Source organism: Homo sapiens, chromosome 4, assembly GCF_000001405.40.
Source record: "Homo sapiens chromosome 4, GRCh38.p14 Primary Assembly".
Lineage (NCBI taxonomy): Eukaryota > Metazoa > Chordata > Mammalia > Primates > Hominidae > Homo > Homo sapiens.
In genome coordinates, this window is record NC_000004.12 from 82,651,990 (window position 1) to 82,666,599 (window position 14,610).

General features: G+C 39.1%; 1 protein-coding gene across 2 annotated transcripts in view; it reads right to left on the minus strand.

The window, feature by feature from the left end:
- SCD5 (stearoyl-CoA desaturase 5) overlaps nt 1–14,610 on the minus strand; it is a 169,258-nt gene that overhangs the window by 22,451 nt on the left and 132,197 nt on the right. The window contains exon 4 of one of the 2 annotated variants that reach the window (NM_024906.3): nt 7,898–9,088. The exons of the other annotated variant lie outside the window; for it this stretch is intronic. Coding sequence (NP_079182.2) covers nt 8,887–9,088 — 202 coding nt within the window. The 3' untranslated portion in view covers nt 7,898–8,886. Of the gene's footprint in view, nt 1–7,897; nt 9,089–14,610 lie in introns of those variants that run through there. 2 annotated transcript variants of the gene reach the window in all.

Sequence of the window (14,610 nt, forward strand, 5' to 3'; positions counted from 1 at the left end):
CATTACTGTGCATTTGAATCACCTGGGGTCTGGAGTGGGGCATGAGATTCCACCTTTCTAACAAGCTCCTGGGTAACACTGATGCTGCTGGTCCTGGAACTACACTTCGAGGAGTGAGGATCTAAGCCAAAGAAACATGAGCAAAAGCACAGTGTCACGAAATAGCCTGAAGTGTGCGGGGAATGGCATTAGTAGGAAGCGAGGTATAAAACAGAAGTACCAAGAGATAGGGTAACTGTGGCCATGGCATTGAAATAACAGTTGCAATTTTTCCCAAGAGGAAGTTGTTAAAAGGTTTTATGCAGGAGACAGCTCTGACTCATAATTAAGCAAGCACAGTTTCTTATTCTGAATAACTCAGAAATGAAGTAAAATATAAAATATACCAGCAAAGTAAGCAGGCAATAGGGTGAAGTGGAGGAAGAAGAAAGACATTATTCCCTATAAGTACTATGACAGTGTAACTCAGTAGAAAGAGTATGCACTTTGGACCAAGACAGAGTTGGGTTCAGATTCCAATTCTACCACTTACAAAATATTACTAAGTCAACTTCTCAGAGCCTCAGATTCTACCATGCATAGAGATAAGGAAGAGGAATTTCATATGCACATAAAAGTGTCTGGTGCACAGTAGGTCCTCGATACACTAAAATCAACATGATAAAGAATGTTATAGAAATTATAAAAAATAACAACTAGAAGCTGTTACTATTATTCTAAGACTAGATGTAGACTTATACTGGGCTTATTAGAACTTTAAATTTTCAAGAGTAAAAAGATTCTGAAAGAGTACCTGAGGGGGATCACTTCAAAGTAAATGTTTTGCCTAAATGTATATGCAAGGCATTAGATGCTGGTGACAATTAGAAGAGAAAGACTTCAGTTGGGTGTGGTGGCTCACACCTGTAGTCCCGACACTTTGGGCGGCTGAGGTGGGCAGATCCCTTGAGCTCAGGAGTTCAAGACCAGCCTGGACACATGGCAAAACCCTGTCTCTACTAAAAATACAAAAATTAGCTTGGGTATGGTGGTACGTGCCTGTAGTCCTGGCTACTTGGGGGGACTGAGACAGGAGGATCGCCTGAGCCTGGGAGGTGGAGGCTCCAGTGATCCCTGCTCATGCCACTGCACTCCAGCCTCGGCAACAAAGTGAAACCCTGTTTCCAGAAAAAGAGAAAGACCTCAGACCCCTCAAGTTAATTATCCCTTCTTCTAATACAACTGTAACCAAACTTTCAATATGAAGTTTGAATGGTTTAAATCTTGGTCCCCCACACCCTCTTCTCTTTTCCTGGTAGTTGGTGCAGTTAATAAACAGCAAAGGCGCAAAGGGCACAAAGAAAAAGAAATGCATTATCATATTAAATAGAGCTACCACAGTTGTAGACTCTCTCCCTGCCCGAGCTCCCACATTAGAAGGTGTTTCCTAATCTCTATTCCTCTTTTTCTCTGGAAACACTTGACCTTCAGGATCCAGAAATCCCCTCACTACCACCTGGGATTCTAAGACTCTTAACATCACATTTTCCCCCTAAAATGTTGGTTATTACAGTCACATATGAAATGTAGCTCTCTCAGTCCTTTATAGCAAATATTGGCCCTCTGCTTGTAAGAGAAAGTTTTCATTATCACAAAAATCCATGTTCTTAGTGGGGCAGAACTAGTTGGGCAGAATTTGAAAGTCAATGATAGATAGATAGATAGATAGATAGATAGATATAGATAGATAGATAGATATAGATAGATAGGCTTTCAAATTATGCCCAGCTAAGAACCATATATGTATATAGTTTCTCCAAATCTCTTGATAGTTAGGACATCTGAGTAATTGTTTTTCTCTTCTTTAAAATGGAAGACTGATAAGAGTAGGTTTATAAAAGAAAGTCAAATGGCAGAAGAGTCCTCACACTTCAGTTGAGTCAATGAGTATTTTTTTTTTTTTTAATCAAACGGAGTCCTGCTCTGTCACCCAGGCTGGAGTGCAATGGCACAATCTGGGCTCACCGCAGCTTCTGTCTCCCAGGTTCAAGCAATTCTCCTGCCTCAGCCTCCCAAGTAGCTGGGATTACAGGTGTCTGCCACCACCCTGGCTAATTATTGTATTTTTTGTAGAGACGGGGTTTCACCATGTTGGTCAGGCTAGTCTTGAACTCCTGACCTCAGGTAATCCACCCACCTCGGCCTCCCAAAGTGAATGAGCATGTTTCAACAAATCACATTATCTCAGCACTAGGATCTTTTTATCTGTGTGACAGATTTATTATTGTTTTATAGGAAAACAGGCAGTGTGAAGAGAAGTAAGTGACTTGGACAGGGAGCCTGTCCAAAGCCAATTTCTGACAAGAATTTTCTTCAGCTGGTAGGTTGACAATGATTTCTTTGGTCTCTATTTCACTGGGAATTCATCCCTTTTACTCTTTGTAATTTTCATATTTTAGACTAAGAATTTGACTCTTAGACTACCCTTTGCAGTTAGATATCTTTCCCCAGGAAGGGAGCTAGCCTATGCTTTACTTTAAATAAAACATTTTTTTTTGAAGGCGTGAAAGCATTTCTTTAAGCAAAGCAAAAAGGGGAGAATGTGAACTTCTAATTTCCAAGGTGGGATTACATCAAATATCTAGACATTGGCTCTCCATCAGGACCCCTTGCCTCTGGCCAGCATGCCCGTGGGCAACAACATAGATAAAGTCCTCTCCAGGTAGGTGGCTCCCAGTGGCACTCTGCAACTTGTCTGGTCAATGTGATACTTCCCGCTGTTAGCCTAGGATACCTAGGAGGGAAGGCTGGATGTCTGGGCATCCACTCACAGTCCCTCTCACTGTCTGTGATAAAAATTCAGCCATTCCTGTTGATAATAATGACAAAAATTGTAGAATATCTAGAAATAAACCAAAAAAGAAACATGTAAGACCTACACATAGAGAATTTTTAACATTTACTGAGATATATAAAAGAAGTCTTAACTGAGAATAAACTCTGTTCCTGAAGAATGAGAGCCGTCAAGAGAAGGCCCTCACCATGCCAGTCAGAAAGAACCATCACTTCATGTAGACTTCTTCAAGGACCTCATCTTAACATTCCCTCTGAAATTGTGAATCCCCTTTGGTTCTTAATATCCTCATCTACTACAGTGTCACTTTCGTATACAAATTTGGGAGTCCCTGACTATTTCATAAGCATGTGCCTTTTCTTCCCAATTAAATTACAAGATATATAAAGGCAAGGACTCTCTTTTTTTCCCTTTGTATCTTCCATACCCCTCATTATGGAAATACCTCTACTTATAAATTTTCCATTTAAGGAAGTTCACAGGTATGAACAAAGCAAGGTGGAAAAAGGCTTTAACCTTTTTACCTATCACCAGCAGATGGTATTAGTGGCCACAAGCAAGCATTTGGCCACACTCTGTTCATTAGTCAGGGGTGTGTTAGCTAGGTTTGTGCTAAAGTTCTGAGATATTTTATGAACAGCAGTAACATCACCAGTTGCAAAAGTATAAAAGTAGTGAGTGTCTTTAAGTCGCTGCTAAAAAGATGCACATAATTAGGATGAAAACAAAAGTAAAAATAGTTTTTCAAACTGGAAGTCATGAGAGAATGCCAAGTGTTGCAGGGGGCTCATGGCACAGCAGGAAGAATTCTTAAGGCTAAGGAGTGAATAGTGATCAAAGAGGAAGGAACAGGGATTGGCAAAATGAAAAAGGAAACTTTTTGAGACTGGAGCTAAATGTTAGCAACAATTAACTTTCACATGTATTAACTAATTTAGTCACTCAATAATTTTGTAAGATAGATATCATCATTACCCTCTGGGCCTACATTTTGCTAATGTTGGTGAAGGCCAGGAGTTTATAAGGGAACTTAAGCCTAAGCACAGTGAAACAGCTGTTGCTGACATGTCTGCTGTAAGCCAAGGGTGGCTCCTTGAGTTCCAAGTTGCTGGGTTCAGAGACCACCCAAATCAGCAGAACATCAGCTGGTCAGTGGGTGGCAAATGAAAACACTGTAGACATCAAAGGTCCACAATAGGGGAAAATGTTTAATAGAATGTAGGGAAAAGACAAGTACTCCTGGTTTTAAAGCTTTGATAAGACTACTTATATATTTTATTATTATTATTATTATACTTTAAGTTCTGGGATACATTGCAGAATGTACAGATTTGTTACATAGGTATACACGTGCTATGGTGGTTTGCTGCACCCATCAACCCATCACCTACATTAGGTATTTCTCCTAATGCTATCCCTCCCTTAGCATCCCCCCACAACCCCCCAACAGGCCAGGGTGTGTGATGTTCCCTTCCCTGTGTCCATGTGGTTTCATTGCTCAACTTCCACTTAAGAGGGAGAACATGCAGTGCTTGGTTTTCTGTTCCTGCGTTAGTTTGCTGAGAATGATGGTTTCCAGATTCATCCATGTCCCTGCAAAGGATGTGAACTCATCTTTTTTTATGGCTGCATAGTATTCCATGGTATATATGTGCCACATTTTCTTTATCCAGCCTATAAATGGGCATTTGGGTTGGTTCCAAGTCTTTGCTATTGTGAATAGTGCTGCAATAAACATACATGTGCATGTGTCTTTATAGTAGAATGATTTATAATCCTTTGGGCATATACCCTGTAATGGGATTGCTGGGCCAAATGGTATTTCTGGCTCTAGATCCTTGAGGAATCACCACACTGTCTTCCACAATGGTTGAACTAATTTATACTCCCACCAACAGTGTAAAAGTGTCCCTATTTCTCCACACCCTGTCCATCATCTGTTGTTTTCTGACTTTTTAATGATCGCCATTGTAACTGGTATGAGATGGTATCTTATTGTGGTTTTGATTTGCATTTCTCTAATGACCAGTGATAATGAGCTTTTTTTCATATGTTTGTTGCCCTCATAAATGTCTTCTTTTGAGAAATGTCTGTTCATATCCTTTGCCCACTTTTTGATAGGGTTGTTTTTTTCTTGTAAATTTGTTTAAGTTCTTTGTAGATTCTGGATATTAGCCCTTGGTCAGATGAATAGATTGCAAAAATTTTCTCCCATTCTGTAGGTTTCCTGTTCACTCTGATGATAGTTTCTTTTGCTGTGCAGAAGCTCTCTAGTTTAATTAGATCCCATTTGTCAATTTTGGCTTTCATTGCCGTTGCTTTTGGTGTTTTAGTCATGAAGTCTTTGCTCATGACTATGTCCTGAATGGTATTGCTTAGGTTTTTCTTCTAGGGTTTTTATGGTTTTAGGTCTTACATTTAAGTTTTTAATCCATCTTGAGTTAATTTTTATACAAGGTGTAAGGAAAGGGTCCAGTTTCAGTTTTCTGCATTTGGTTAGCCAGTTTTCAGAACATCATTTATTAAATAGGGAATCCTTTTCCCATTGCTTGTTTTTGTCAGGTTCATCAAAGATCAGATGGTTGTAGATGTGTGGCATTATTTCTGAGGCTTCTGTTCTGTTTCATTGGTCTGTGTATCTGTTTTGGTACCAGTACCATGCTGTTTCAGTTACTGTAGCCTGGTAATATAGTTTGAAGTCAGGCAGCGTGATGCCTCCAGCTTTGCTCTTTTTGCTTAGGATTGTCTTGGTTATACAGGCTCTTTTTTGGTTCCATATGAAATTTAAAGTAGTTTTTTCTAAGTCTGTGAAGAAAGTCAATGGTAGCTTGATGGGGATAGCACTGAATCTATAAATTACTTTGGGCAGTATGGCCATTTTCACAATATTGATTCTTTCTATCCATGAACATGGAATGTTTTTCCATTTGTTTGTATCCTCTCTTATTTCCTTGAACAGTGGTTTGTAGTTCTCCTTGAAGAGGTCCTTCACATCCCTTGTGAGTTGTATTCCTAGGTATTTCATTCTCTTTGTAGCAATTGCAAATGGGAATTCACTCATGATTTGGCTGTTTGTCTACTATTGGTGTACAGGAATGCTTGTGATTTTTGCACATTGATTTTGTATCCTGAAACATCGCTGAAGTTGCTTATCAGCTTAAGGAGATTTTGGGCTAAGATGATGGGGTTTTCTAAATATACAATCATGTCATCTGCAAACAGAGACAATTTGACTTCCTCTCTTCCTATTTGAATACCCTTTATTTCTTTCTCTTGTCTGACTGCCCTGGCCAGAACTTCCAATACTACATTGAATAGGAGTGGTGAGAGAGGGCATCCTTGTCTTGTGCTGGTTTCAAAGGGAATGCTTCCAACTTTTGCCCATTCAGTATGATATTGGCTGTGGGTTTGTCATAAATAGCTGTTATTATTTTGAAATACATTCCATCAATACCTAGTTTATTGAGAGTTTTTAGCATGAAGGGGTGTTGAATTTTATTGAAGGCCTTTTCTGCATCTATTGAGATAATTATGTGGTTTTTGTCATTGGTTCTGTTTATGTGATGGATTACGTTTATTGATATGTGTATGTTGAACGAGCCTTGCATCCCAGGGATGAAGCTGACTTGATTGTGGTGGATAAGCTTTTTTTTTTTTTTTTTTTAGATGGAGTCTTGCTGTGTCACCAGGCTGGAGTGCAGTGGTGCCATCTCAGCTCACTGCAACCTCTGCCTCCCAGGTTCAAGTGATTCCCCTGTCTCAGCCTCCTGAGTAGCTGGGACTACAAGTGTGTGCTACCACACCTGGCTTTTTTTTTTTTTTTTTTTTTTTTTTGTATTTTAGTGGAGATGGGGTTTCACCATGTTGGCCAGGATGGTCTTGATCTCCTGATGTGCTGCTGGATTTGGTTTGCCAGTATTTTACTGAGGATTTTTGCATCAATGTTCATCAGGGATATTGGCCTGATATTTTCTTTTTTTTGTTGTGTCTCTGCCAGGTTTTGGTATCAGGAGCTGCTGGTCTCATCAAATGAGTTAGGGAGGAGTCCCTCTTTTTCTATTGTTTGGAATAGTTTCAGAAGGAATGGTACCAGCTCCTCTTTTTACCTCTGGTAGAATTTGGCTGTGAATCCCTCTGGTCCTTGGCTTTTTTTGGTTGGTAGGCTATTAATTACTGCCTCAATTTCAGAACTTGTTATTGGTCTATTGAGGGATTCGACTTCTTCCCGGTGTAGTCCTGGAAGAGTGGATGTGTTCAGGAATTTATCCATTTCTTCTAGATTTTCTAGTTTATTTGTGTAGAGGTGTTTATAGTATTCTCTGATGGTAGTTTGTATTTCTGTGGGATCAGTGGTGATATCCCCTTTATCATTTTTTATTGTGTCTATCTGATTCTTCTCCCTTTTCTTCTTTATTAGTCTGGCTAGCAGTCTATTTTGTTAATCTTTTCAAAAAAACAGCTTCTGGATTCATTGATTTTTTGAAGGGTTTTTCGTGTCTCTATCTCCTTCAGTTCTGCTCTGATCTTAGTTATTTCTTATCTTCTGCTAGCTTTTGAATTTGTTTGCTCTTGCTTCTCTAGTTCTTTTAATTGTGATATTAGGATGTCAATTTTAGATCTTTCCTGCTTTCTCCTGTGGACATTTAGTGCTATAGATTTCCCTCTAAACACTGGTTTAGCTGTGTCCCAGGGCTTCTGGTACATTGTGTCTTTGTTCTCATTGGTTTCAAAGAACTTAGTTATTTCTGCCTTAATTTCGTTATTTACCCAGTGGTCATTCAGGAGCAGGTTGTTCAGTTTCCAGGTGGTTGTGCGGTTTTGAGTGAATTTTTTAATCCTGAGTTCTACTTTGATTGCACTGTGGTCTGAAAGACTGTTATGATTTCCATTCTTTTGCATTTGCTGAGGAGTGTTTTACTTCCAATTATATGGCCAATTTTAGAATAAGTGTGATGTGGTGTTGAGAAGAATGTATATTCTGTTGATTTTCACACATAACAATATTCATCTTAAATGTAAATGGGCTAAATGCCCCAATTAAAAGACACAGACTGGCAAATTAGATAGAGTCAAAACCCATCGGTGTGCTGTATTCAGGAGACCCACCTCACGTGCAAAGACACATATAGGCTCAAAATAAAGGGATACAGGAATATTTATCAAGCAAAAAAAAAAAAAAAAATAGCAGGGGTTGCAATCCTAGTCTCTAATAAAACAGACTTTAAACCAACAAAGATCAAAAAAGACAAAGAAGGGCATTATATAATGGTAATGGGATCAATGCAGCAAGAAGAGCTAACTATCCTAAATATGTATGCACCTAATACAGGAGCACCCAGATTCATAAAGCAAGTTCTTAGAGACCTACAAGGAGACTTAGACTCCCATATAATAATAGTGGGAGACTTTAATACCCCACTGTCAATATTAGACAGATCAACAAGACAGAAAATTAACAAGGATATTCAGGACTTGAACTCAGCTCTGGACCAAGCGGACCTAACAGACATCTATGGAACTCTCCACCCCAAATCAACTGAATATACTTATGTTTTTATTTATAGAAATACATCTGGAAATGATAGCTTAAACTCCTCTTAATCACTTTTGACTTACAAAAATAATCAACGTGTACAGGTTTTTAGAACCTAAAGTTTTTATAAATGGAATATCTCCTATAGAGTGCTGTATGTGTAGTTAATAACACAAATATTTATTGCACATCTCCTCCATACTTTCACATATATTAACTAATGTATTCTCCCAATAATTTTGTAAGGTAGGTATCATTATTACCCTGCTCTAGATGTGGAAATAGAATCTCAGAGACAGAATGACAAAACTGAAATCTTTTTGATTTTAGGACCATATTTTACCTCCCCGTAGCTGCCTCCTTGTGTCAACTGATTGAATCAATAAATAACCTAATGTTAGCACAGACTGCAGCTCTGTCTATGCTTCACACCGTTAAAAAAGGCCTGGGTGTGGAGTCCCCGTCTGTTATTCTATACGTTATCACCAAGCCTCGCTGTTGTATATCTCTCTTCTGACCTTCAGAATACCTCCAGGGACACAGAAAGAGCACGCAGCATCAAGCAGCACTTTTCGGAGTGGTTACAATGAGTATGTAACAAAGCTAAAATGTGTAATCCGGGAAGGGTGACTTTCAATATATGCCCTTGATGCCATTCACGAAGCATCTCACACGCTGCCTCTTGATTGAGAGCTCTTCCTTCTTTCTGGATGTGCTGTGTACTGATAAAAAATAAAGAAAATGACTGAGAGTTCCACCCAGGTTTGTTCAGCAAGGGTTTAATTTCTCTAGTGCTCCTGTAGAAATTGTGTCAATAACAAAACCTTGCATCTCTCAATCTAATCATCCCTTGACACACTCAATAGGATATAACATGGTGAGATGGGGACTGAGGAATTAAGAGTAAATTAGATAAAAGGAAAAGCTCCTGGTAGCTCTGACATGACAGCCTGCACATGACTAATCTAAATATTCATTCTGGGTAATGGAACAGCTATCAACAAATTCATTACTTACAACAATATTTCCACTTCAACTGTCAACTGACGAGGGGTCTCATAATACATTGCTGTCAGCAGTTTGCAGCAGTAAGAGAGAAAAGGTACTTACATTTCACAAATATGTATGAATCATGCTCTTGATTTTTAAAAGGGACTCAGCCTTATTTAATATTTTCAGAAAATTGCTGTCACAAGGACATCAACCTCACAAATCATCTTATGGAAAGAACAATTTGGACAGCAAAAATAATGGATGTGTTTCTAGCTAATCACTCCGTGTCTTGCCTTAAGTACATGCATTTATGCCTTCAGATGCCTCTTGTTTAAACAAATTTTTCTCCTATGCCACTCTCTTTCTAGCCCAGCATTAATTAGGTTCTTTAGAAAAAGAGACTTTCAGGTTGTAAACCAGCACTAAGGTGACATTCATGAATTATGGAGTCATATGTCCTAGCGCAGAGAGCTGAAGAGAGTAAACATGAGAAATACGCAACACACCCCATCTGTTAATTCACCTACCTAGACACCAGATTTTGTGACCATTCTACCTTCTTCCTCCACTGAGAGGTGGCAGGGTTCTGGACAGGGACGTGGGGACGTTTCCACTGTGTCAGATTTTTCTCTCCAACAAAAAAGGAGGGAAATGAAGAGACAGTGTCTTTGTCTTTGGCCATGGGTAGTGAACAGAACAGTGTATGTTATTTATTTATTTATGAGACAGGGTCTCCCTGTGTCACTCACTCAGGCTGCAGTGCAGTGGCTCAATCACAGCTCACTGCAGCCTCAAACTCCTGAGCTGAAGCAATCCTCCTGCCTCAGCCTCCTAAGTAGCTGGAACTATAAGCACATGCCATCGTGCTCAGCTAATTTTCTTATTTTTGGTAGAGACAGGATCTATGTTGCCCAGGCTGGTCTCAGACTCCTGGCTTAAAGCAATTCTCTCACCTCAGCCTCCAAAAGTGCTGGGATAACAAGCATGAGCCACCACGCCCAGCTATCTGTTTTAAAAGGCAATGCTACAAATGGCCCAAAACATAAAATTGTAATCAAAGATTTTGAAATTAATATGAAAATAGGTATAAAAAGCCAAGAGTTCTATGTATTATTTGACTTGGCAATTCTGATTTTAGCTAAAGGAAAGTATCATAGCTGTGGTCAAAGATTTATATACCAAGTTGATCATCATACCATTATTATAATGGTTAAAAAAAAAAAAGATGGGGCCGGGTATGGTGGCTCATGCCTGTAATCCCAGCACTTTGGGAGGCTGAGGTAGGTGGATCACCTGAGGTCAGAAGTTTGAGACCAGCCTGGCCAACATGGTGAAACCCTGTCTCTCCTAAAAATACAAAAATTAGCTGGGCATGGTGATGGGTGCCTGTAATCCCAGCTACTTGGGAGGCTGAGGCAGGAGAATCTCTTGAACCTGGGAGACGGAGATTGCAGTGAGCCGAGACCACGCCATTGCACTCCAGCCTGGGCAACGAGCAAACTCCGTCTCAAAAAAAAAAAAAAAAAAACACACATGGTAGAAATCCTTCAGTGTTCATGAAAAATAATTATGATACATCGTCACAATGAAATATTAAGCAACCATTAAACTAGAAAGATTTTACAGTATTCTGTTAGATGAAAAATGCAGACTATAAAATAGGATGCAGAGTTCTGTGTCTGCTTAGATGTAGAAAGTCACTAGGGAATATTGCTGTCACCTCGACAATGAGAAAAAGCTAACTAATATACACAACCATAACTTTTCTTTAACTCATCAAGAGTTAAGGTCACAAGGCAACTAAGTAATCTGAATTCCAAAGAGTCATAAACCCATCCAAGGAGAGACAGTACACATGAATATGAATGGCTTCACTTTTGTCAAAGCAAGGAGAAAGAGATGGCTACCACACAAGTAGATAAGAAGAAGTCAGCTAAAAATTTAACAAAATTCTTGAAGGTCAATATGGGATAGCCTCAAGCCTCGGACACAAAAGAGTTTGTATTCACACTCAAGCTTTTCTTTAGGGCCCCTAACTGGGTGCTCACAAGGAAGGTTGGGGACAGGGTAGAGTGGAGACCCAGGACCCCCTCTGCCACATAGACATGCAGGAGCTGATCAGCTGCTACTGGCAACAAGAACAAAGCCTTGCCTTCTTCCCCAGGGCCCTCTCTTACAAAGCAAAATCTTAACCCATTTATGCCTGAGGTTGCAAGTTTTTGAATTTTTGCAATCAGACCTTGGTGATGACCTTGAGCAGCAGGATATAAATAACTCCCACATGCTTACCGTTCCAATAATGGAACACTAGGCATAAATGTGTTTAAGCTGCTGGAGGAATACAGACACCTTCTGGCCCTTAGGACTGGGCAAAAGTATATTGCTCTGGGAGAGCAACTGAAGCAAAATTGTTTGTCTCTGGGAGAGGTGTTGGGAAACCCTCACCCCCAGACATAGGCAAAGAAACATTGCTGCTGAGGGAGAGACAGAAGCAAAAATCTTCTGCCCCTTTGAGGAAGAGCAGGAAACCTGCTTGTGCCCAGGATCTTGCACTGCTCAACAGCAGAGGTTGGCTACTGCAGGAATGCTAAGAAACCCTTGACCCCAAGGTTCAGGCACAGGAGCGTTGCCTAAGACTGATACTGGACCAGAACAATGAAGAAACCCTCTACTCTTATAAACAGCCATGCACAGAGACACAAACAACAGAAGTCCACCCTTTGTGTAGGAGCAAGAGCATAGGGAAAGATCTACTTTGTGACACAGGTGTGCAGGGACAGCTAAAAGCCGAGGGTACAGAATGAATACTTAGAAAACTCCTCTGGCACATCAGGCTCTAAGCACGTAGTAAGGGTAGCCATCCAGTGAAGTCTGTGGTGCACTAAGGATAATAATAGCAGCAGTAAAATCTAAACTCAGCTCAACTTCTGATTAATTGACCCAACCCCAACCTCTTCCACCCACACATACTGAAGGTCTGAAAGAAAAAGAGATGTGCCCATGCTCAAGCATAAATAATATTTACCTTGGTCTTTCTGTTCTTACAGAAATAATGTTCAGCATTCAATTAAAATTGAGTCACACAAAAGTGCAAGGGGGGGGGAACAAAAATCATTGTCCAGAGATAAAGTAATTAATAGAACCATTCTCAGAAATGGCCTGGATATTACAACTATCAGGTAGGGACTTTAAAGTAACTGCAATGAACATGTTAAAGGGATCTATGGAAAAGGTGAACATGCATGAACAGATGGGAGATTTTATCAATGTCTAATGCAAATCTGGTAAATAAAAACAAAATCAGAAATGAAGAGTGCCTTTGATGGGTTCATTGGCAGTCTAGACATAACTGAGGAAAGAATTAGTAAACTTGAAGATATGCCAATAGAAATTATCCAAGCCAAAACATAAAGATAAAAAGGAGTGAAGCACATCCAATATCTGTGGGACAACATAAAATGCTTTAAAATAAAATGTAATTAGAGTCCCAGAAGAAGCCATGCATTGTGGCTCATGCCTGTAATCTCAGCACTTTGGGAGGCCAAGGTCAAGGCAGGAGGATCACTTGAGGCCAGGAGTTCAAGACCAGCCTGGGCAGCATAGCAAGACCCCATCTCTCTCTCTCTCTCTCTCTCTCTCTCTCTCTCTCTCTATATATATATATATATATATGTATAATACACACACACACACACACATATATACACACACACATATATATATATATATTTTTTTTTTAATTTAATCAGGCATGGTGGTATGTGCCTGTAGTCCGACTCAGGAGGCTGAGGCAGGAGGATCATTTGAGCCAGAAGTTTGAGGCTACAGTTAGCAGCTATGATCATGTCACTGCACTGAAGCCTGAGTGATGAGACCCTGTCTCAAAAAAAAAAAAAAAAAAAGAGTTCCAAAGAAAAAGAGAAACAGGTTAAAAAAATTAAATATAATGGCTAAGAATTTTCCAAAATTAATGAAAGACAAAAAGTTGCAGATCTAAGAAGCCCAGAGTCCCAAGAATACCTCTCTCCTTAAAAAAAAAATGAATCTAGATACATCACAATCAAACTGCTGAAAACTGAAGATAAAATATATTGAAGTCAGTGACAAAAAAGGAAACATTACGTGCAGAGGGATAATACATATCACACAATGATACAAATCAAAAATTATGTAAGGCATAAGACAAGGTACTGACATCTTTAAAATACCAAGAGAAAAAACCTGACAACTCAGAATTTTATGTCTGGTAAAAATACCTTTAAAAAATGAAGGTAAAATAAAGACCTTCAGACAAACAAAAGCTGAGAATTTATTGCCCATAAACCTGTGTTACAAGAAATATAAAGGAAGTTCTTCAGGCAGAAGGAAGATATCAAGTGGAAATTAGGATACACACATACAAAAATAAAGAAGCTGGAAATGAAATAATAAAGGTAAATATTAAATTATATTTCTTACTTTAATCACTTTTACATAGGATATAGGATATGCATACTTTTTTAAAAAGCTAGCTTGATACATAAAAAACTTTAGAAAAATATACAGCAAAATTTTAACTGATCTTTTTTCTAAGTGGAAGGATTACAAATTATTTCATTTTAATCTTGATGCTGATTTGCATTTAAAAATTTTTCTACAATGAACCTATATTACATTTTATGCTAAAAAGTGTAATTTTATTCTTATATTTTGTTTATATTATACAGATTTCAAGAGCTGCGGGGTTATAGAAATTTTATAAGCTAATTGTTAAAGGAAATAATAACTAAAAATGAATTTTCTGTTATGAAAACTTTCTCTACTTTTTATGTCTTACCATATGGGAAAAAAGAAGAGACACTAAAAAGGCAAGAAGAGCTGTTTTCTCTGATGCATAAACCAATAATAATAGATTGAATTCTTTAGAACATGAATAACGATTGAATAAAAACCTTTTATAAGTACTGTTGATTACTGGGTGACGCCCTGGAGCTACAGCCATACACTTTCCTTGAAAGTCTCTTTATTTTAAGAAAATGTTAGCCGGGCGTGGTGGCGGGCGCCTGTAGTCCCACCTACTCGGGAGGCTGAGGCAGGAGAATGGCGTGAACCCGGGAGGCGGAGCTTGCAGTGAGCCGGATCGCGCCACTGCACTCCAGCCTGGGAGACAGAGCGAGACTCCGTCTCAAAAAAAAAAGAAAGAAAGAAAGAAAGAAAATGTCCAGTGTAGATTAAAAGATTACTCTACATAGCCTAGAAAGAGAACCAGGAA